The 25,769-nt window shown below is 37.3% G+C and overlaps 1 protein-coding gene across 2 annotated transcripts in view; it reads left to right on the forward strand.

Moving 5' to 3' along the window:
* Positions 1-25,769, forward strand: part of MAPRE2 (microtubule associated protein RP/EB family member 2) — a 166,444-nt gene that overhangs the window by 4,038 nt on the left and 136,637 nt on the right. For both annotated transcript variants that reach the window (NM_001143826.3, NM_001143827.3), the window contains exon 2: positions 24,428-24,489. Coding sequence is in view for 1 of the 2 variants with exons in the window: in NM_001143827.3 (NP_001137299.1) it covers positions 24,428-24,489 (62 nt within the window). In the remaining variant the exon portion in view is untranslated. The remainder of the gene's footprint in view (positions 1-24,427; positions 24,490-25,769) is intronic.

Raw genomic sequence — 25,769 nt, forward strand, 5'->3', positions numbered from 1 at the left:
TGAAATGTTAACACCTTTTTGGGAGGCATAAGAGATAAAGTAGTTTAGAAAAATAGAATTAACTTTGGGAGGCCGAGGCGGGTGAATCACCTGAGGTCAGGAGTTCAAGACCAGCCTGGCCAAACATGGTGAAATCCCGTCTCCACTAAAAATATGAAAATTAGCCAGCCAAGGTGGCACACACCTGTAGTCCCAGCTACTCGGGAGGCTGAGGTGAGAGGATCGCTTGAATCTGGGGAGGCAACAGAAGTTGCAGTGATCTAAGATTTCACCACTGCACTCCAGCCTGGGGGACAGAGAGGGAGATGCCATCTTAAAAAAAAAAAAAGACTAATCGGATTACTCCATATTAATCAGAAACTATTTCTCAGAGTATGATATATACCTAGCTCTGTAATATTTACAAGTAGCTAAAAGGGGTAGAGTAGAAGAAAGTGTGTCATCTCTATTTTATAAGCTCTAAAGTGTTTGAGAACAGACGAGAACCACCCAGTCTTATTACCTTAAATTTATATAGCCCTTTGGTCTTACTAACATATCAGGGCTTAATCATAATTGGGTAAATGGTATTCCCAGGTGCCAAATTACACAAGTGAATCCAATAAGTTAGGTGATCCTGGCAATGCCAAGGCATTGACTCCTGGATTATTGACTCCTTTTCCAGTGTTTATTGCAACATACAGGTTTTCATGTAGTCTTGCCTGGAGGCTTTGGCTACACAAGACTAGTTTGAATTAACTCCTTTCTCCTTAAAAAGTAGAAACTACTCATATACATCATTGTCTCAGCGACTTTATTTATTTTTTTTTTTTATTTTTATTTATTTTTTTTTTTTTTTGAGACGGAGTCTCACTCTGTCTCCCAGGCTGGAGTGCAGTGGCGCCATCTCGGCTCACTGCAAGCTCTGCCTCCCAGGTTCACTCTATTCTCCTGCCTCAGCCTCCCGAGTAGCTGGGACTACAGCCCCCGCCACCACACCTGGCTAATTTTATGTATTTTTAGTAGAGACGGGGTTTCAACGTGTTAGCCAGGATGATCTCGATCTCCTGACCTCGTAATCCGCCCACCTCGGCCTCCCAGAATGCTGGGATTACAGGCGTGAGTCACTGCGCCCGGCCAACTTTATTCTTAAATAATTAACCTTTGGAATTAACCAACCCCAAACATGTTGAGCCATCTTTAGCTTTTCATCTAGGTAACCAAAATAATAAGTTCTTCAAGTCTTTTTCCAAGTCATAGAAGCATAAACTTCACTACAGACCCTTAGAGATTAGTTCCACCACCCATAGAAATCTTAAATACCTAGTGCTTCTTCACTAAGGAGTCCTCCAACTTACACTTGACTGTCTCCCTCAAAGCACATTCCCATCTCTTCTTGCAGCATTCACCTATTGGAGGCCACGAAGAATAAATCCAACTCTACATAATTCACCCGCAACCATCTTAAACATTGAAAGAGAATTTATACTCTTTAATCTGAGATAAGAAAAAGTCTGGCTTTGGTATTTCAAATCTCTTAATTTCACAAAATTTTTGTTCCAAATTTGCAAGATTTGAGAAGTATCCAAAATTATATTTCTTAAACCAGAGCTTTATAGAATAGAATTAATTGGTAAATTTGCTTCCAATAAACCTAATCTAGTAATCTATCACTTCTAAAATCACTGGCAAACTTCATACAATTACATTAAGCTGTGTTGAGATAAAACTCACGACTCCATCTGTTTCTAGAATCAGCAAACTATAACCCATTGCTTGTTTTGTATGACCTTGAAGCCAAGAGTGGTTTTTATATTTTTTTAGTCATGGAAAAATATCCAAAGAAGAAAATACTAGAGGACACTTGAAAATTACATGAAATTCAAATTTCTGTGTCCAAAATAAAGTTTTATTGGACTGCAGCCATACTTGTTTGTTTACATCTTGTCTATGGCTGTGGCAGCATGGAATTGTTGAACCAAAGACTGTATGCCCACAAAACCTAAAATATTTACAGCAAAACTACTGCAGACCTCTGATTTACCCCAGTTTAACATACTTCAAATTTTAAATAAAAATTTGTTCACTTAAAGCCTTAGTCTTTTTTGTTTTTGTTTTTGTTTCCCTTAGAAAAGGTTAAGAAAAAATGTAGTTACCAACCATAGGTCAACTAATCACTAAAAATAAAAGATAGTTTATTTTCATATTCTTCTTGTGTATGTACTTTGCGAAAAGCAGTATATTTCTAAATATATGAATTTTAGTGATACGGTCAACTGTAAAACTTCTGAATCCAAACAAGCCCAAATAGTGCAATACTAACTAGTAACCGTTTCCAGAGCTCTAGAAAATGTGAAAACATGTCCTTAAGAGCAATCCTAATGTGAACACTTGCCTTAACTCTTTAGTCAATGTTTTTTCAACCTGTGAGGGCCTTCCTATGCTTATTTTAGTATATGAAGACATAATTTGGAAATTTATTCAGATTTAGAAACTTTTTATTCACTGTCACTTCCAACACTTAACATGATGTGGAAACTTGCTGTTTTTGGAAATAGCCCTACTATTTTATTTCTTTTCATTTAATTTCATTTATTTTATTTTGAGACCAAGTCTCATTCTGTCACCCAGGTTAGAGTGCAATGGTACTGTCTTGGCTCACTGCAACCTCCACCTCCCAGGTTCAAGTGATTCTCATGCCTCAGCCTCCCAAGTAGCTGGGATTACAGGCACATGCCACCATATCCGGCTAATTTTTATGTTTTTGGTAGAGATGAGGTTTCACCATGTTGGCCAGGTTGGTCTCAAACTCCTGACTTCAAGTGATCCACCCGCCTCAGCCCCCTTAAGTGCTGGGATTACAGGCATAAGCCACAGTGTCTGGCCTGGAAATAGCACTCCTTTTCTAAAACATGCATTTACTGTAAATTGCTTGCTACTTGTAATGGCAAGGATCACTAAATACTAAAAGGATATACACGGTTACTAACACTGCTAAAGCTGACATTATGCTGTGGACAATTTTGTTTAAAATTTCCAAATTCAAAAGTAGACCAGATTATAATCCAGAAATTCAAAATTCATCTTAAATTATTTCCAGTCTGCTCAAAGCTGGAAAGATTACCATTAAGATTCTAGAAAGGATATTTGAAAATAATAACTACATTGATGGGAACTAGTCTCAATTTTTTATTGTAAGTGTTGCTTGTCATAAAACTTCCTTCAGCTAAAAGAACTTCTTCCTTTTGATGAATTGTTAATGCCACAGAATGGGAGTTTGCTATGAGTTTCATTTAGATAATAGAGCAACTTTAAGAGTTATATATAACTGGTGTTCTCTTCACCCCTTCCAGAATGAGCTGCAATTTATAGACTGAAAAGACAAAGGGATTCCTTTTTCACCAAATCAAAAAACACATTATAATTAACGTAAGTTTTGAGGTACATAACATCAGCTAAATTATTTCTAAAAGCAAAAACTTGTAATTGTATTTAATCCCATCCTAACACCAGTGATAGTAATGGCATGTTAGGTCACTAACTTCCACGTTAACCCCTAGTGCTTCTGATGGGGGAAAGGAGGAAAGGGATGGCTGGAGATTGATGTATAACTCCCATGCTGACTGGGTAAGGAACCAATCCAAGTAAAATTAACTGCCCTCCTTTATCATAATCTACATTCACATTTTAATAATATATTATTTAATATATTACATACTATATATAATAATATATTAATATATAGTTATATATTATATAATTATATAATACTAAAAATATAAATATATAATATTTTATATGTTATATAACATATAAAATATATAATATATTTTATGTTATATAATATATAATATATTTTATGTTATATAATATATAATATATTTTATGTTATATAATATATAAAATATATTATATATAAAATATATAATATATAAAATATATTATATATAAAATATATAATATATTTTATGTTATATAATATATAAAATATATAATATATAAAATATATTATATAATATATAAAATAAAATATATTATAAAAATATATATTATATAATATATAAATATTATATACTATATTATATATAAATATATACAAATATATTTTATAATATATAAATATATAAAAATAATATATAAATATAATATATAAAATATATATAATAAAAATAAAATATATAATATTATATATTATATAATATAAAATATATAATATAATATATTATATAATATAATATATTATATATTATATTATATATTGTATATATTATATTATATATATAATATAATATATAATATATTATATTATATATATAATATAATATATAATATATTATTTTATATATATATAATATATAATATATTATAAATATAATATGTAAACTATATTATATATTATATTTATATAACTATATTGTATATTATATAATATATAATATATATATTGTATATTATATAATATATAATATATATATTATATATTATAAATATAATATATAATATATATATTATATATTATAAATATAATATATAAACTATAAACTATAATATATAACATATGATATATTATAATAATATATAACATATATATTATAATAATATATAACATATGATATATTATAATAATATATAAATATATATTATATAATATGTGATATATAAATATATATCATATAATATGTAATATATAAATATATATTATATATGTAATATATAAAATATATTACATATTTGTTTAATACCTTGTTGAAATAATCCTTAATAAGCTGTCTCTTTTAACCCCCTAGAAGAGAGGTAAAGTATCTTCCAGGTATGAAATATATAGCCTATTCTATACATGTAGCACTAATAGTTCTCTCCAAATTAATTTCTAAAATTAGAAAATAGTTAGGCTTACTATATTTTTACTAGAGCAGGGACTTCATAATTATCAATTGCTTAAACAGAGGCAAAACATCCAAAAGTCTTCTGCTAACAGGCAAACCTTGGTCCCAACTTATTATAAACATCATGGCAGGAATGACTATCGGTATTTGAAGTAGGTAGGAGGTAGGTAAATACACAAGAAAAGGTACCTAGAAATGAGTAGATTCCTTTGTTTTGCTGAAGTACCTGAAACTATTTACTGCACATCATACATAAAAATGAAATGAGAGGATTAGCTTGCTCCTTTAAAAGCTGGTAAAGGCTTTCAAAAACTGGTAAGAGATGACAGGGCCTGAAACCACCTTGAACGTTCCTTCCTTCTTTCAAAGATCATCTTAAATCTGATCAATTTAACAACATTTGATATGAAGAAGAAAAACCTTTCATGATTCTTACCAAGAAACTACTATCTTAGCTCTCCCACTGAGCAGCTTCAGCTCTCCATAAAGTGGAAAAAAAGAGAGACCTTACAAGAAAGACCTTGCTGGTTTTGCTCCACCTGGTTCTTCCCGGGAAAGACGCTATTGATATAAGTAAGGCTCTTCGGTAGTTTCACTTCCAGCTTGCCCTCTATTGTGATTTTTTTAAAAGTGTGGTCTCCTGGGCACAGATCCCCTAAAAGGAGCTTCCACAAATTAGCAGCAGTAATAACCAAGTGTGTGATGTAGTATTGGCAAATCCAGAAGCAATTCCCTCTACAGTTGAAATGTTTAGGCAACTCGGTCAGTGGGTCTGTTAATTCTCCATCCCAGCACCTGACCTTCAGCACTTCAAGATAAATTTGGAGGTATGCTTTTCTGTAGAGTTGCCAGGTAAAATGCAGGATAACCAGTTAAATTTGATTTTAGATAAGATTTGTTTTGGTGTATCTGAATTTGAATTAACTGAGCATTTCATTTTTCTGTTATTTGGTTTTTAATTTTTATTTTTGCTAAATTCAGCAATCCTACTTTTATGATACAATAGATTTCAAAATGACTAGCTTTCCTGGTCTGTAAAAGATCTGAGGTTATATTTATGAGATAATGAATTAAAAATGTCTTAGCTGCCTTCACTTACTCAAGGAAAAAAAGCCATTAACTGAAGTTTTTTTGCACAATTTACTAGATTGAGAGGAAATAAAAAGTAAAACAAGAACTAGAAAATTAGCAATGTTTTTAATTTTGTAAGATATTTTAAAGTACTTTCTATTCTTTCACCAATTTTTTAATAGAATAAATACTTCAATAGGTATATTGTTAGTTCAAGTAGGGCTAACATGAGAAATCCATCAACGATGTCAACAGTATGTTCCTAATCAAAGTGAGATTCCAAGTGATTGCAATGATGCCTTGCTACCTAGATGAGGCATCAGCATCACCTAGGAGTGTCTTAAAATGCAGAATTTGAGACTCCATTCCAGACTTCCCCAATCACAATCTTCACGTTAACAAATGAACACAGGTGAATCACATGCGTGTTGAAGTTTGAGAAGCCCTGAACTAGAGGATTCACTTTTTCCACACATTAAATTGGTATTTTTGTTTAATACCTTGTTGAATAATCCTTAATAAGCTGTCTCTTTTAACCCCCTAGAAGATAGATAAAATATCTTCCAGGTATGAAATCATTGTATTTCCATTTTATTCATATAAAATTCCTAAATGGCCATTTATAATATTATGAATCAATGTGAAAAAATATTATTTTTTGAGACAGGGTCTCTCTCTGTTGCCCAGGCTGGAGTGCAGTGGTACAATCACCATTCACTGCAGCCTCCACCTCCCAGGCTCAAGTGATCCTCCCACCTCAGCCTCTTGAGTATCTGGGACTATAGCTGCATGCTGCCATGCCCAGCTAATTTTTGTATTTTTTGTAGAGACGGGGTTTCACCATGTTGCCCAGGCTGGTCTCGAACTCCTGGGAACAAACAATCCACCCACCTCGGCCTCCCAAAGTGTTGGGATTACAGGCATGAGCCACCGCACCTGGCCTATAAGTCAACTTTTTCAAAGACCTCATGGAATAAATGAACAGGCTAATATATAATTCTGGATTTTCCTTGATTAACCTGTAAATTAGGTGGATCATAATTCCTGGCACTCAGATCACCAGCAAATCTCTTTTGTTTTTCATTTTATTATTGTAACTTACAGAACAGTATTTATATACCAATACCACATATTCATATACTTGTATCCCCAGATTCCTCTAAAACTGGACAAAAGGAGATCCAGTTGGGTCTATGGGAGATTCCAAACTATTCTTGTGAAATTTAAAGTTTTTAAAAGTAACAAAAAGAGTCCATAGATAATTCTTTTTGAGTTCTAAAACCTCACTTCTTTATGTCTGCTTTCCTGTCTTTTAGAAATTATAGTATTGTATCATAGAATGAATTCTGAAATTGGAGCAAGAATGCCAAGTAGCTTGAGTTTTAAAACTGGTTCTGCTGCTAACTGGGTGACTTTAGAGATGTTATTAACATCCTTCATCAACATCCTTCAAATTGAGTTTTTTCATCTGTCAAATAGAGAAAGCGAAGTCTGACAAGAGTTACAAGATCAGATAACATCTGTGTACATCTTTATGACTGTAGGACGTACAGTGATGTCCTAAGACTTGTTTAATGATCTGCTTCATATAGGGCTGCAGTTGACTATTATAGGATGTGGTTTCCTGCAACATGCCTGATTTTGAAGAAGGGTGATCTACACACTGGGAATGAAGCCACAGAGCATGTATGTTACATGTAGCTGCTGGCTATATATGTCCACGTCAGCCACACACTCCCTTCTGCTCCTCAGAACCTTAAAGTTCTCCTCATGGCTGGGGAACAGTGATGTGCTCCAGGGCTCCAAGCAATGGATTCCTCAGCAGACATTGCTCTGTGAAATCAAAAGGCAGGTTTTCTTTTCTTTTGTTTTTTTCTTCTAGAATTCTGTATAATCTTGCCTGCACTCTCTCTCAGGAAATGATTATTACCACATTATTACATAATTGTGATTAGTTATTAAGTAGCTTTTTATCTTATCCAATCATACAACCCCAAATTGGAAGAGCCTGCACAGTCATTTTCTTAAAACATCCCAGGGCAGAATTTCCACTACTAGCACACAAAGGAGAAATCTATTTATCCTTTTGTTGTTTTAATAAACATAAGTTCATTAGTGAGAGCCCAAACCAAAAAAGGAAGGAGGGGAGTGGGAGGAAGTACTCCTAATGTTAACCACCCTCATGCAACTATTACAAAAACTATTTTTATTATTGTGTAAAGTTCTTCTTGTCTGTATTTACATTCAACAATGTCTTACATAAAATGTTCCCTTAGCATTTGTAATGTTCCCTTTATCCAGCTTAATGTCTCTAGCTTTGGGGTCTTTGCCTGTGCCTTCTCTCGGTCTTCTATCCTGGATGTCCTAGTTGATTCAAGCTTGGACTTTGTCTTGTCTCAGGTTCTTGGTATGCAAAATGTGTGGTTCACCTGTGTGTGGTGGCTCATGCCTATAATGCCAGCATTTTGGGAGGCTCAGGCAAGAGGATTTATTGAGGTTAGAAGTTCAAGACCAGCCTGGGCAACATAGTGAGACCCTATGTTTACCAAAAAATTTTGAAAAAATTGCCAGGCATGGTGCCGTACTTATAGTTCCAGATGCTTGGAAGGCTGAGGCAGGAGGATCACTTGAACCTGGGTGTTCAAGGCAGCAGGGAGCTATGATCACGCTACTGCACTACAGCTTGGGAAGCAGAGTGAGACATTCCCTCTCTCTCTGTCTTTTTTTTTTTAAGTTGTGGTCCATTGACCAGTGGCATCAGCATCACCTGGGAGCATCTCATAAATGCAGAACCTCAGGGTCTTCTGCAGACATTCTCATTCAGAATCTGCACTTTAGGAGGATCCCCCGGTAATCTGTTGTTTGGCATTAATATTTGAGAAACATTGATATGGAAAGCCTTTCCTAACCTCCTAACCATGGTCTCCACCCATCTCAATGGGGTGAGTTAGGTGGCCCATATTTGGTTTGCTTTTCATCCCCCTTGCATGGCAATCCATTGAAGATTGCAATAAACTTTCATTCATTTCCACATCCCCAGATTCTAGCACAGTGCTTGACACAAGATTTTAACTTTGGGAATTGTTTCATTTTCCAATACAATGATTTGTAGATGAAGAATTGCAATGAGAATCTTCTTGTGCACTCAGAAAGGTTGCTCTCCACCATGGGACTACAGTTTGTTAGAGGGTCCCCTTTCGTTGCAGTCTTTCTTATAAAAAACATGCTTGGTGGGGAATGCTTCTCTGTGAATAACTTCTGGAAGTCCACTGCCAAAAACTTCATTTCTTCTGCTTTGTTAAATACTAATACCTCTGGGAGGGATGGCATTTGAGGCTTGGTGTGAGGGTTGACCAGTTGGCAGGTTTTGGTAAGGGTTTAGAAGGAACAGAATGCTTGTCTGACAGGAGAGGGTAAGGAACACTAGGAAAGATATATGGTGGACTCTTGGAGAATTGATTTCTAACTCTGACAGGTGTTGGGATATTTTTGTCTGGAATCTTAATGTAGGTCATTTTTTTTCATTTAGAAAAATCCACACTTCTTATCTAAAAATCTCAGATGTGACTTTTTTCTCCAATCCTGACTCTCATCTATGATAAATTTCATCTAGCGCTACGTTCAGTGTAAACCACTGATGCCCTAGGGAATTTTTTTAGATGTTTGTTTTAAAATTTTAGACAGTCAAAAGCACAGTACTTCTACACTGATGTTTCTAAGTTATATTAAGATTTATCAGGCTGGGCATGGTGACTCATGCCTATAATCCCAACACTTTGGCAGGACAAGGCAGAAGGATCGCTTGAGGCCAGGAAATCAAGGCCAGCCTGGACAATATACTGAGACTCCATCTCTATAAAAAGAAACACACAAAAAATTAAGCAATAACTGAACTATAGGGAGCTTTCGCTGTATTCATGGATCCCTTGGTCTTTTCATTGTGGAAGGAATGTTTTGTGAACTTGGGGACAGATAATCTGATGGGGGGAGGATCAGCTCCTGAGCCTCTGCTTTTTGTTTTTCAACTTCTATTTTAGATTCAGGGGGGCACATGCAGATTTGTTACAATGGTATATTGCATGATGCTGAGGTTCGAGGTACAACTGAACACATCACCCTGGTAATGAGCATAGTATCCAACAGGTAGTTTTTCAACCCTTGTCCACCTCCTCCTGCCTCTTTCCTCCCCTCTCTTCCTCTTCTCTCTCTCTCCCAATTCCCTTTTGTAGTCCCCAGTGTCCATTGTTCCCGTCTTTACGTCTATGTGTACCCACTGTTTAGCTCCCACTTCTAAGTGAGAGTGTGCATCATTTGGTTTTCTGTTTCTGTGTTCGTTCACTGAGCCTGTTTTGAGTAACAGGAGAGACCGAGTAGAGCTTTGGAACCAAGTTGTGCTCAGAAACAAGAAACGTCTGTCCTACAGAACTATTATTTGCCTTATTTGAAAGGAACGAGAGGCTCCTGGTACTGCTTACCCACAGCTCTCACAATTAGCCACACAGACTGCAAGACTAAAGGGAGTATAATCATATTCCAGAATGCGTGGCCTTTTTTCTCCTCTTGGGAGTCTACCGCTATATTATACTTACCCATCACCATGGACACAGCTCCAGGAGCATTGTGAATTGGAGTTAGGTTCATCTCTTTTGTGGAAGAGTATGTCAGGCTGTCTTTCTGGAATCTCTTATCTGAGTGTCTGTGATGATGCTATTCATGGTAATTTGCCCAGACCTGGGACCTTGGGTGGGGTTTGTTAGGAGTCATCTGGCACCTTTAGAGTATAACTTGTTGAGCAATCTGACGCAGGTAAGCCATGCGGGATAGGTAAAACAATTGTTGTGTTCTGTGCTCTATAATATCAAGTCATATTTTGAGTCATATTTTCCCATGGAGTTTGTGGCCCATCCCAATGGGAAGAGATTTTTAACACTATGTTCTTGTGAGGCCTAGTGGTGTTTTAAGGGTTGCTATTGGAATCTGAAAGCTGTGTGAATTTTTTCGTTTTTTATGTTTTGGGTTTTCTTTTAACATTAAAGAATGATTCATAGCCCTGAGCTTTGTTACCACCCTGTTAATAATTTTGTGTGACTTTGGTTGAGCGACTTTTGGACGCTGATTTCTCTAGCTGAAAAATTATGTAAATATTGTTACTATCATGAGTAGAGGCTCTAGAGATTAAAAAAATTAAAACAGCAAAAGTATTACAGACAAGTAAAATTAGAGAAATGATAAAGTGGAGACAGCAATAGCTACTAAAATATTCAAAAGAAAACATGAAGTAAGACAAAGAATGGTTGTCTCCAACTACCCCTCTTAGTTCAAAGTCTGTGCAATGATCTTCACTCAAAACTTTTGCAAGTTGAGCACATCATTCTTATTGTTCTTTATTATATGAACAATAAGTTAATTTGAACTGATTGTCAAGGGACCTAGTTCTTGCCCCAGCTGTGCTTAAAGTACAATCTAAGCCAACTCAATTCACTTTTGTGACCTCTGGTCTCATAATAAAATGAAAGCATCCTACATAACTTTACCCATCCACTCTCCACAAAATATCCCAGTGCTGTGAAAGGTGTTTGTTAATTCATTTTCTTATAATAAAATATAATAGAAAATAGAGTGGGAACTATATTTTTTTCCTTTGGGGAATCCATAAATTACATTTTAAACGTGAGGAAAACATGCAGTTTTGATAGTCCATTAGCACATTGAATTCTTTAAATTGGAATAGGCAGATGCAGTGATAAGTTTAAACATCCATTTAACATATGGAGAATGCCATTATAGCTGTTCAAAATACGAAAGCGGTGTGATTTCCGGCAGATCAGACACATTTTAAAAAGCACCCACTCAGAAAACTTCCTGAGCTCACGTTTCCCTGTGCATGTGGTTTTTAGTGTTGGGTTGTCTCTCCCTCATAGGCTGACAAATAAAGAGTCCATATATCATATCCCATTAGCGATAAGGGAAGACATGGAAAAAGCAGAACCACTGATGGAGCCCAGGAGTGAGTTGGATTGTGCTGCCTCAAAATACAGGTCAAGACACTAAGGCCTGAATCTTGTGATTTTGTGCTACTGCACAATTACTGGACACTGATTTATTTATAAATGAATGAATGAGTGAGACAGGATCTCACTCTTGCTCAGATTGGATTGCAGTGATACAGACATAGCTCACTGCAGCTTCAAACTCCCGGGCTCAAGTGACCCTCCCAAGTAACTGGCAATATAGGTGTATACCACCATTCCCGCCTTTTTTTTTTTTTTTTTTTTTACTTTTAATAGAGGCAAGGTCATGTTTTGTTGCCCAGGGTGGTCTAGATCTCCTCGGCTCAAGGGATTTTCCTGCCTCTGCCTTCCAAAGTGTTGGGATTACAGGCATGAGCCATTGTGCCTGGCCCAGGCACTGATACAGCACCTGCCTGAGGCACTAGATCATGCAAGAACAAGAAGAAAATAGACTTAAAACACAGGGAGTGAACCAACTATAACAACCTTTTCTTTGAGCCTAATCAAAGGGACTTCCCCTTTTTAAGACTGTAGTTGAGTCATGCTTGTGAGTATAGAAAGACCATACATCAACAGTTGTGAACAGAAGTCGGAATCATTTCTTCTCTTATGGCCCTGGCACCTAAAAGTTAATGCCAAATGATGCCCAAAGAGGGGTCTGTGATGAGCAAAGCCTTCTCCTGGCCAGGCCGTGGTGTTACTGTACTCTGGACCAGAGGTACAGCTCCATGACACTTTCTCACTCCTGATGGGAACAAATGAAGCTAGTTGTGTTCTACCCATTTTGAATGTCTGGCATAATCAGAGGGTTGACAGAGAGGGTCTCACAAAATCAGTACATAATTCTTGAAATATATGCCCTTCATTATTTATGTCGAATAACAAATTAAATGAATCCTAGTGTTTTAGAGCTGAGAGCAACCTTGGAGATGATCTCATTTAATGCCATTTTATAGAGGAAAAACTGAGGCATGGATTTTCTTTTTTTTTTTTTTTTTTTTTACTGAAACCACTAGTAATTGCAAAGTTTTAAATGTTTATAGCACATCATTTGCTTTTGACATTGCTTTGCAGATCATCTGAGCTGCTTCCTGGCTCTCCAGTACATTGTACTAACTGGGAGGATGGGGAGACATTTGCTGTCCCCATGGGGAATGAAAAAGGAAACCATGTGGGATGGGGAGGGGCAAGAAAGAAGAAAAACAAGCTTCTCTAGGCTCCAAAAAATTTGAAGGAAATAAAGATATTAAGCACTTGTTAGATGAAGTGATAGCTACAAAACACGTAATCTGTACAACAATCTTATGAGCACTATTCAACATTAAGCTAACAGAAGAAGTCTCAGTTGTGGTCAAAAAATAGTTTTGTTTTTTGGCTTCTGTTTTTTGCTTTTTTTTTTCTTTTCCTAGGCTGCCAACCTTAGAGAAATGATGGTCAAACTGGGGCTGCCAAGGTCATGTATTACAGAAGAGGCAGCAAAAAAGGCCTTGGCAGGGCCAGAAAGGCCAGAGAAGGTCCTGTTCCAAGGATTTCTTGGGGCCCTTTTCATCGAGGCCGCATCCACATGATCCCTGAAGATAGGTATTCCCTCCCATTCTGTTTAAGCTGTTAGTTTTCCCTAGATTTAATTCTATTGTAATATTTTATATCCCTATAATCAGGAGATATTTTCAAATTCAATAATAATAATGATAAATTTAATAAGTATTTTCCATGTACATAGAAATTTATAGTTGCTAAAGAATTTTTATATGTAACAGCAGCTCTTTAAGGAGCTGTACTTTACAGAAAACTGTAAAAACTGGGTCCCAGAGTTTAAGTGGCATGCCCAAAGTCACATAATTGGGAAAACCTCAAACCCAGGGGATGATACCCCAAGTCCCAATGCTCTTTATACCAGGCAGCTTTACAAATGATAGTTGAATTCTCAGGGTAGCCCTCAAAGATCCCTTTAACCCATAAAAGTATTAACTTATACCAGTATGTTAACCTCTAACCAACTCATATTTCCATAGAAACATGCATTGGGTTTTAAAAACTTAGGTAAATACATTTTCTGGACACATCTCCCTGTAGGTGAGGACTCCTGATATTCTAGCATCAGTGGGCGCTTCTTTTCCCTCAGTTTGAAAATGCAAGTGCACCAAGAGAGGAATGTTATTATAAAGTATGGGCAATCTCAAATTCATTTTGAGCCTGACACTTTTAGGCAGAATAATGGTCCCAGTATGGTATACAGTTGTGGAATCAAGTAATGCAGTTTTTAAGTTTTTTAGCTCATTGTTTGCTAGTCACAGAATTTGGCAGGACTTCCAAGCATCTTCCTATCTCTCAAGCACACTGGATATATGTGTGGCAGCTTCATCTGATCCAATTGCCTACACAAGAAAATAACAGTGGCTTCACTGAGGGTGCTCATGTAACAAGATCCAGAGACAGCCATTTGAGTCAGCAGAGGAAAAAATAACAAATTTTTGTTAAAACACTCTCTAATGCATTTGCACAAACTAGTTAATCAATTAAATACATATCATCTTCAAAAGGGGAGAACTTCCCTAAGAACCTGGAACTCTGGGTGAGTATGTTACCACTGGGGGCTAGGAATAATTGCAGGAAGGAGGAGCAAGAAAAAAGTGGTGTGCACCAAGGATGGACTTCACATCCTTAGTTTTGCTTGCTTGGGGGTAAGGTCTAAGCTATATGTTTGTGTCCATTGTTTGGTAGTAAGGTCTAAGCTATACATTAGTTTATCTCAGTTGGGATCATGTGAGTGAATGGCTCCTTTACCAAGCGCATGTTAATCTGTCACCATAGCAGATTCTAGAAAGAGCCTGAAGCACAGAGAGTGTGTGTGTGTGCCTTGCAACTCAAGGTGTGGTCTTTAGACCAGCAGCATCACCTAGAAGATTTTAGAAAGGCGGATTCTCACACCCCTCAACGGCTAGACGTACTGAATCATAACCTGCATTGTAACAAAATTCCCAGGTGATTCATAAAGTCAGGAAAGCGCTGTCACAGATGAACCTGATAGTTAAAATGCTTGTTTTCCTCTAATTTTCAGAATGAGAAAAACAAATGATCTTCAAACTCTATATGCTCCCCAAGAAAACAGCAGTCAGGAATTTTTCCACCCCTGCTGTCAATATCATTGCCTTCACAGCCCTGTGATATGATTATTTTGTGTTTATTACCTCGGCGGTCCTAAACCTTTTTGGCACCAGGGACCAGTTTTGTGGAAGACAATTTTTCCATAGACTGGGGGTAGGGTGGAGGATGAGGGATGGTTTCGGGATGAAACTGTTCCACCTCAGATCATCAAGCATTAGATTTTCATAAGCAGCGGGCAACCTAGATCCCTCATGTGCACGGTTCACAATAGTGTTCGCACTCCTATGAGAATCTAATGCTGCAGCTGATCTGACAGGAGGCAGAGCTTAAGTGGTTACCCAACTAGACTTAAGTCCTGGGTGGCTGTTCTGTGTCTTGTTCACCCTTAGAATCCCAGCACCCAACATGGTACCTGGAATCTAATAGGTGTGTATGGTGGTACTCAAGAGTCCCAGCTTCAAAGTACAACAAACATGGGTTGGAAGCTTCAGTTCATACATCTATGAGATGGGATAAAGAATAACACCTCTTATAGGGTTATTGGGAGGAGTAAATGAGCTGATGCACCAGAGCCCCTGATGTACTGTAGCTACTCATAAGTGGCTAATATGTTGAACAAATGAAAGAATAGAAACCTTGTATACGAAGTCTTCAGAGGTCTGAAATGTGGTGCCCTGTTGCTTCAAATATATGAAATTGAATTTAAAAACAATATGCAAAGGAAGCCTGATAAACATAAGAAAACGGTAGAATAGATCCATGAGAAAAGCCTGTGATTTGGAATCACAAGACCAGTGTTTGGGTTTCAACTCTCCCCTTTACTAGCTGTGTGATCTCATGCAAGAAACAAGCTTCCTGAGCCTCAGTTTCTTCACCTAAAGAGTGGAGTTAGTAATCCTCTTCTTTTCATGGCGTTATGCTTAAAAAAGGGGGGTGGGAGGTTTACAACTTGCAACATTCATTCATTATTCATTTTTGTATCCCTTATTCATTTTTGTATCCTCCTTATTCATTTTTGTATCCCTACCTCTCCTGACAAATAGTGATGCTCAATAATGCCTGTTTGCTCCAATGGATTACAGCATAAACTCTCAAGGGGAATGAAAATTGGATATTGCAATGGCTTGTGGCCTCCAAAGGTTAAACTTTATGGACAAAATCTTATTCCATAGCATTTAGGGGATCCTAAAGGATTTCTTAGCATCCTTAGGGGATACAAAGACTCCTTGTGAGTGGGGAGGAGGAGTGAGGAAGATGATTTTTAAAAACTTTGAGAAGCACAATTAGAGCTCTGACTCTTCAACTTGGTACCACATGAGAGCTCTTCAGGAAAAAGCATAAGGAGAGAAAAGCAGCTAACTAAAAGGCAAGCAGAGTGAACCTCTAGAAGAAGTAATAAAAGAATTACCATTTCAGCTGGGCACAGTGGCTAACACTTGTAATCCCAGCACTTTGGGAGGCTGAGGCGGGCGGATCCCCTGAGGTAAAGAGTTCGAGACTAGCCTGGCCAACATGGTGAAACCCCGTCTCTACTAAAAATACAAAAATTAGCCTGGCGTGGTGGCAGGCACCTGTAATCCCAGCTATTCGGGAGGCTGAGGCAGGAGAATCTCTTGAACCCAGAAGGCTGAGGTTGCAGTGAGCTGAAATTGCACCACTGCACTCCAGGCTGGGCTACAAGAGTGAGACTCCGTCTCAAACAAATAAACAATCAAAATGAATTACACTTTCAAGATCTGGGTGATGTGATATATATAAAATAATTTTGCAAAACTAAGAGCTATAAACAAGTATAATTACTAAAGGAAAAGCCTTTAAGAAATATTTTCAAGTTGTATATGTTACCTGGATTTATTTCCATTAATATATTGATTTCCCCAGTAGTTGTTTTAATCCCTGACAGTGTAATTGGGGTATCGGCTCCACAACTTCACTGGGATATTTCCCAGTTGAGTGGAATTTAGCATGAATTTTTTTTCTATCAAGGAATTTAGTTACTGATGTGGCCCCCAAACCTTTTGAAAGTAGATTCCTTTGTAAGGCAGACCCCACAGCAGGGAGCCCAAGAGCAAGGCTGTTTGTTGTTATGTCAGCATCCTGGGGTCTTCACATTGGCTCAAACAGGAAACTTATGGACGGAGGCTATGCTAACATTCCCACAGGTCTCTACAAGTCCCATTCACTTACCAGCATTTTTCTCTCTCTTTTTTTTTTTTTTTTTTTTTGAGATGGAGTCTCACTCTGTTGCCCAGGCTGGAGTGCAGTGGCGCCATCTCGGCTCACTGCAAGCTCTGCCTCCCAGGTTCATGCCATTCTCCTGCCTCAGCCTCCCAAGTAGCTGGGACTACAGGTGCCCGCCACCACACCCCGCTAATTTTTTTATATTTTTAGTAGAGACGGGGTTTCACCGTGTTAGCCAGGATGGTCTCGATCTCCTGACCTCGTGATCTGCCCGCCTCGGCCTCCCAAAGTGCTGGGATTACAGGCATGAGCCACCGTGCCTGGCCTAATTTTTTTATTTTTAGTAGAGACGGGGTTTCTCCATATTGGCCAGGCTAGTCTCGAACTCTTAACCTCAGGGGATCTGTCCAACTTGGCCTCTGAAAGTGCTGGGATTACAGGCGTGAGCCACTGAGCCTGGCCGAAGTTGCAATTTTTTTTTTTTTTTTTTTTTTTTTTTTGGACAGAGTCTCACTCCGGACTTGGCCAAAAATGTTAAAATATAATTTGAAAAGATTTCCACAGAGCACAATACAGGGCAAAAGGTCACAGTAGCCCTTGATACCCAATGTCTTTTCAGCCCTTTTGCTACTGTCAGTCTTACTTAGATTTCACATGTAACCCTTAGTATGTTACTGTGTTCCTTCTTTGCATGGTCAAAGGAATTACAGACTATAAAAACAGCAAGCATGGAAAGCAGGGCTTTAGTTTCCACTATGACCCAAACACTAAACTTGAACCCTGGGCTCTGAAATGAAACCTCTCTCTGTGCTACTTTGACACGTAACATGCATTCTGCCACGTAACATGCATTCTCCCACATTTCATTATTAATTGCACACATGAGGAGAGGAGCTATTCTATGCTTACGACTCTATTTTCAAAAATATCTGATTAAAAATGGATAAAAGGATAAGTGAAAATAATGTAATTATAGAAACACTTTACAGAACTATAATATATGTGTTATTTCCCATATATGTAGTTTTGTCTCATGTAATTTTTTGAAAGAATTTTACTTTTGTACATTGAGCACTATAAATATTCTATTCTAAAATAGAAAGGGCAATCTTAAAAAATATTTTAATTCTGATTCACATGGAAAGTAGCAGATGGATAAATGATGATTCCAAGAAGAAAGGGCTAGGCTACATTTGTACGAAAAGAACTGAATTTTTATTTTATTGTAACTATCATTTTAGGTATTTTCTGGGGATTATCTTTTATTTTTATAGAAACCTAAATCATATGACCATCAGTTTATAACATCATTACCATTCTTAATATATACCACCCAAATCCATTTAGCAGTGAGCTATAATTTTTTTGAAGTCCTTAAATATACAATATGGGTCATTTGGTAGTTTGTCTTTCTGAAGGAGAAGAATGAGTTGTACCAGACTTAACCCAAGATTCAGTGTAATCTGACCTCCTTTACTTGCCAGATACGCTCATTTGGTTTTTGGTTTCCCTGTTGTGTGCTCAGCTCTGTGCTTCCTGGCAGTCTTGCCCTGGGGAAGTTGCACAGGAGAGGGGAGGCAGTCTGGGCCTCCCCTCTGCTGCCCCTAGAGAAGGCCCTGAGCCCAACCCAAGACCATTAATTGAGGCAGTGCGTGGCGGCGGAGGCAGAGCTCTCTGAAAGATTAATATCTAGTAGGCTCCACCTCAGGATTAATGGCCTGTGACCTTCTGCTAATGCTGCAAGCTGCTTTATTCCTAGAAAGCTATGGACCTCCCACACTAAAGAATGTGATCTACAACTGAAGGGATTCAATATCTCAAAGTGGCCATGGGGAGTTTGGAATTCAGGATACAGCTTATTCTGGAGATCCAAAGACAGCTTAGTAAACTCCCTAGATGAAAACTTGGGCTCAGGCCCCAGTAGTGTTCTCTTCTTGGAAAAGCTGTGAACAGCTGGGGAGGTAGTAATGCTGTCTCTTTGTGAGGAGGATGCTTTAACCTTGTGTTGACCAGAAGCCTCACTGGTTAAACACATAGCAATGAAGAAAGAATGAAATCTTCTTTCGATGGCATGGCATGATTTGAAATATTTTTACAAACATATTTTTCATTCTGATATATCTTTCATGTTCCTGTAGATTTTGTGGCCAGACATGAAAGTAGCAGTCTTTGCCAGAGGATGGGGGGACTCCCTAGCTAGGATAGAGGTTCTGCTGCTATGCCTTGGACATGGGATGCTGGAATTCTGGATTTGTTTGTCAAAGAAAGAGGATTTGACATTTCTAGAGGATGGGGAAAATGGACCTTTGTAGAAACAGAGAATGTGCTTTGTTAAAGAGTCATGACTCTTATCCTAACAAAGATATTTGGTCTTTTCAATGAAAACAAAACCAACAAACAAGCAGAGCCATAAGCCAGAGAAAGCAGCTGGCTTATGGCTGCTCATTTCTGAGGAGCTGCCCTAGTGCTCACAATGGCTAAAGAATAAAAGTCAGTATGATCTTTCCAAACGCGAAGGGGGATTTTGCAAGTTCCTCTGTGTGTGTTGGCGATTAAAATTCTGTCGTTATTTAGTGTATGGTCCAGTTTTGAATACAGAACACCTGCCTTGTCATCCATAAAATAGTACCACAAAGGATAAAATTCCACTCCATACACGTACCTGTAGTCCCAGTGACTTGAGATCAATCCGGAGGCAGGTGGATCACTGGATCCCAGGAGGTTGAGGGTGCAGTACATTGTGATTGTGCCTGTGAATAGCCTCTTGTACTCTAGCTTGGGCATCACTGCAAGACCCCATTTGTAAAAATAAATGTTAAATATTCCATTTCTATGCAAATAAATGTGGACATTTTATAAGATTTTGAAAATTCCTAGATAGTGTGAACTTAAGGGTATGAGAGATAAGTTAAAAAATACAGGATATATCAGCTGGGTGCCATGGCTCACACCTGTTATCCCAGCACTTTGGGAGGCCGAGGCAGGCAGCCTCACTTGAGGCCAGGAGTTCAAGACCAGCCTGGCCAACATGGTGAAACCCCATCACTACTAAAAAAATACAAAAATTAGTGGGTGTGGTGGCACATGCCTGTAATCCCAGCTACGCGGGAGGTTGAGGCACGAGAATCGCTTGAACCCTGGAGACGGAAGTTGCAGTCAGCAGAGATGGAGCCATTGCACTCCAGCCTGGGCAACAGAGCAAGACTTTGTCTCAAAAAAAAAAAAAAAAAGATACGTGATGTATCAAGCTGCTATTTCAAACTCACTTCTGGTTTTGAATATGTGTATGGTGAATTTTAATGGATTAAGAAGGTACACGAGGGAGAAGGGAATAACAGCAAAGAAAATTCCAACATAGGCAACATTGGATAGCAGAACATTGGCAGTGGTTTCTGAATGCTAAGTTAGTGGGTGAGTTTTTTTTTTCTTGGATCTGTGCAAAATGGAGCAAACTCCTGGTCCATCTTGCCCACTGCTTTGGGGCTTTTGCTTTTCTTTGAAAAGGTAAGAAAATAAAACTAATGTATCTTGCTCAATTCTAGTTCCTGTCCAATTACCTGATTTAAAAATATATATATTTTGAGATGATTGTACAGTAAGATGTAATTGTAAGAAATAATATAGAGAGATCCCATATATTCTTTATCTAATCTGCCATGGTAGCATCTTGCAAACTTACAGCACAATGTCACAACCAGGATATTGATGTCAACACAATCAAGGTTCAGAACATTTCCATCACCACAAAAATATTTGTGTTGCCTTTTATAATCACACTCATTTCCCTCCAGCCCTCACCCCCTCCTCTTAACCCCTGGCAACCACTAATCTGTGCTCCATTTCTATAGTTTTCCCATTTTAAAAATGTTAGATAAATGGAATTATGCAGTATATAACTTTTAAGGACTTTCTTTTCTCACTCAACCTAATTCTCTGGAGATTCATTCAGGTTGTTACTTTCTATCAATAGTTGGTTCCTTCTTATTGCTGGGTAGTATTCTGAAGTTTGGATGCAGCACGGTTTGTTTAACCATTAACCTGTTGAAAGATACCTGGGTGGTTTCCAGTTTGGGGCTACTATGTATAAAACTGCTATAAACAAATTTTCATTTCTCTGGGGTATACGCCAAAGTGAGCAATTGCTGGGTGATATGGTAGTTGCATGTTTAGCTTTTAAAACTACAAAACTGTTTTCCACAGTAGCTCTACCATTTTACATTCTCAGAAGCAATATATGAGTGATCTAGTTTCTTCAAACCCTCGCCAACATTTGGTGTTGTCGCTATTTTTTATTTTAGCCATTCTGATAGGTATGTTGTGATGTCTCATGTAGTTTTAATTTTCTTTTATCTATAGGCTAATAATGTTGTATACCATTTAATATTATTTGCTTTCCGTATATGTATATCCTCTTCAGTTAAATGTCTGTTCATATCTTTTTCCCATTTTCCGACTAAGTTGGTTTATTTGGTTGCATTTTGAGAATTCTTTATTTTAGACACTAGTTCTTTGTCAGTTATTGGGCTTGCAAATACTTTCTTCTAGTTTATATCTTGTATTTACATCTGCTTCACATGGGCAAAAGTTTTTAATTTTGATGAAGTCCAATTTACCAATTTTTCCTCTTCCAGATTGTGTTTTTGGTGTCAAGGCTGAGAACAGTTTGCCAGCCCCGATCCTAAAGATTTTCTCCTGTTTTTTGTTTTTTCTATAAGTTTTGTAGTCTTACATTTCACATTTATGCCATGATCCATTTTGAGTTCGTTTTTACGTAAAGTGTGAGACTTGCAGACAATGAGAGCTCTACTCCTGCCAAACACAGCAGGAGCAAGCTTTGCCTCACTCCTATCCCCACAAGCAAAGGCTGCATGGGAAGGCTAGACTTCTATCCTTGCAAGGCTGGGACTTCTTGAGCACCTACCACATGCTAGGTCCTGAACTTATGATGATGGAGTGAAAGCTCTCCAGGTATTTCGAATCTATGTCAAATGACTGCTATTAAGGTATTTTAGTGTGGACATACAGATGAAAGAGAAAGGAGATAGATACTGGTCTGCCAGACTCAATTAAAATCTATCCCTTTCTAGCTGCATGATATTGGGCAAATTGCCCCACTACTCTGAGCCTCTGTTTCTTCATTTATAATAAGATAGTTTTGAGGATTAAATTAGATAAAATATGTGAAATGACTGGTGCATAAGGTGTTCAATAAATAATGTCATTCTTCTCCAAACTGATCCATTGCGGCTGCTGGAAAACCTAGCAATGGACCGTTGTCAGAAAATAGAAAAAGGCCAATTGTATACAGACAATTCTGAATTTTCTAAGGGCTAATTATCTGCTTTATAGATAAACTAGAAACCTTATGTTCCTGCTTCGTAGCTTGGTGGCCAGTGGCTTGCACAGCTACTGGGTACTATTAAATAAAGTAGATAAATGAAAATTTCATTCTGATTCAGTTGAACTTTCTGGAAAATTGAAGGACTTAAGAATAGAAACTGACATGGATGGGAACCAATATTGTTAAAATCTGAATTTAGGTTTATCAACTATCATTCAGTTGTAGAAAGATATAACGTATTCGTAAAATTAAATTCTGCTGCAAAATATGTAAGGAAATTCAACTTATTGTATCTGAAGGAAAAAACTTAGATTGTAGTCAATATATCTTAATTTAGTTATTGACACTATGTACACCATTCATGTTAAGTTTTCTGATTTTTAAACAAGCCCAAGTTTATTAATTATTTTTGAGATCCTTCACTGAGTAGTATAACAATTCAGTTGTCACCTTTACTTTTATTCTCTTGACTCTTGCCATTTTGTTTTTCACCTTTTTTTAACTAAACATCTCCTTTTTCCCTTAGAGAAAAACTATAAAATGCCACCTCCTCCCTTTTAATTAAAAAAAATAATAATTCTACCAGCAACATCTCCAGACCTGTGTCTCGGAATAATCACATCATGTTGGATCTATCACAAATATTTTATTTTTACACAATGATTTTAAGCTAAATAAACACCAAGTCATTTCTGAAATGGTCATAGAAAACACAGAAGAGCAATGTAGGGCTTAGGTGGAAAGTGGGGAAGAGAGTTAAGGCTCATATGTATATGCAAGTCAGGTCATTCATAGCAGCATCCAGTTGAAACATAGCAACCTCCTCCGTAACCGTTCATCCCCCAAACACTTGATTCTCAAAGCAAACTCAGACTCCTCCATTTCTTAGCCTCCAGAATTGGATTTGTCCCTCATCAGTTTACTGTCTTACTGCCTCATTTAGTCAAAGCATATTTTGAAAATAAATAGGTAATTCATATAAAGAAAGTCAATTGGCTGTGCACGGTGGCTTACGCCTGTAATCCCAGCACTTTGGGAAGCCAAGGCAGGCGGATCGCGAGGTCAGGAGATCGAGACCACCCTGGCTAACACGGTGAAACACCGTCTCTACTAAAAATACAGAAAAATTAGCCGGGCATGGTGGCGGGCGCCTGTAGTCCCAGCTACTCGGGAGGCTGAGGAAGGAGAATGGCGTGAGCCCAGGAGGCAGAGCCTGCAGTGAGCCGAGATCGCGCCACTGCACTCCAGCCTGGGCGACAGAGCGAGACTCCATCTCCAAAAAAAAAAAAAAAGAAAAGAAAGTAAATTACTAAATTACTGCTTATTGGTATGTACATTTTAAAGTCGTTTATAATGCTTATCCTGTTGAAATTAAAAATCTTTTTGACTAGAAAAAGCCTGTGTTGATACTAAATATAAAACCTGGTTAAACCTAAGTTTGGGGAATTCAGTACTTTAATTGATGTTGGTATTTGATACCCCACTAGAGGCACTGCTCCTTGGGGTTATCCGCCGACATGATTCCCGTCACATCAGACTATCAGGGCAGGGGAAAAACAAAAGAAAAAATATTTTCATAGGACTGACATTATACTAAATTTTTATCAACTATTAATCAATATAAGAATTGATCTAATAATATATATTGAGAGTATAATTCTATTGTCTGGCTGACTTAATCACTTTCATATGGTAAGATTGATTGACTTTTGGATATTTGGCGTGTATTTTTTCTTTAATTTTTTCCATTGCTGGCCACACCCACTAAACTAAATTATAACTCTTTGCTTCCATATTTTCATCATATTAAATGCTTGCACTCTTTTTTTCTTCCATTTTTACTATCCCAGTGTCCTGTTTCCCAGAGGAACAGTTCATTTCAACAGCCAGGGAGAAAGCCTGGATGCTCAAGGTAAGGTTTATATAAATTACGTTGCATGACTCCTTGCTTAAAAATTAATTTAAAGTGAGTAGTAATATTGTCATTGTAACAAATTTATTTTCAAAATTCCAGTACACAATTAAAGCCGATATTTGAGTAAATATGCTCTTTTAAAACACTATTTTTCAAATCAAATTCCATTTCCCAAGTGTACGAAGGGCTAATTAATTGCTATTAGTAATTCCTCCAAAAATGGTCAAGCCAATTAATTAAAGTTTAATTTTGAAAAATCTTATGATAGGTGGGGAGGGTAGAATATCAAGATATGGTCAAAATGAACTCATGACATCGCTATTTATAAATAAATGATTTTTATTTGATATTGTTAAGAATCAAGAAAGCCACTCTGTTGGCTTTGAGAGGCAGAAAGAGAGACAGAGTGAGAGCGTGCGAGCGTGCGAGCATGTCTGTGACAGAGATGACGAACCTGGAAAGCCTCATTTTTTTCTGTCTGGGATTTGTCTTTGAGATGCAATCATTTTGACCTTCAGTTATTTCGAACTATTACTCTAAGTCTCTGTAAGTAATGTCTTCAAGAGTCACCTCCAGGAGCCCTTAGAACAAAGGAACAATTAACTGAAATTCCACCAGATGGCAATGTTTGGAAAGCCATTCAGAGAGGTCCCAAGCTACAAGCTATTATTGTTCACACAGAATAGTCTCACAAAGTGTGGTGTAACATCCTATATTTCATCAAAGGTACTCTAAACATCTTTTATTTTACTCCTATTTCTCCACAGCATCAAACATTTTTACTTAAAAAAAAAGTGTGTGGGGACGTATGTGTTTTCTTCTTTCAAAAAAAAATTCTGGAATGATAAAATTAGAAACCTCATTCTTGAATAGTAATTCTCTAAACAGTAATGGTGACTATTAAAAGCTCAAATCATGAATAATATACCATATTTGTTTTGGGGCCTCATTGTAATAAATGCTATGACTGGTGGTCACTTTTTAAATATTTGAGAAGAGAAACTGAAATTCTTCCACTTAATAGCATTTTAAGAAGTTGTCTTGATATTAAAATTTGCAGGTATAAAATTCACTGTATTGACTTGGAACAATTAGTTTATTTAGTGTGGAAGAATAGATGTTTTCTCCTGTTGCTCTAGTGAAAGTGGAAATATGGAGCACTTTTGTAGGCTGAGGTGAGCACATTACCAGAGGTTAGGAGTTAAAGACCACTCTGGCCAACATGGCAAAACCCTGTCTCTACTAAAAATATAAAAACTAGCTGGGCATTGTGGTGC

The sequence above is a fragment of the Homo sapiens genome, chromosome 18 (assembly GCF_000001405.40).
Source record: "Homo sapiens chromosome 18, GRCh38.p14 Primary Assembly".
NCBI lineage: Eukaryota > Metazoa > Chordata > Mammalia > Primates > Hominidae > Homo > Homo sapiens.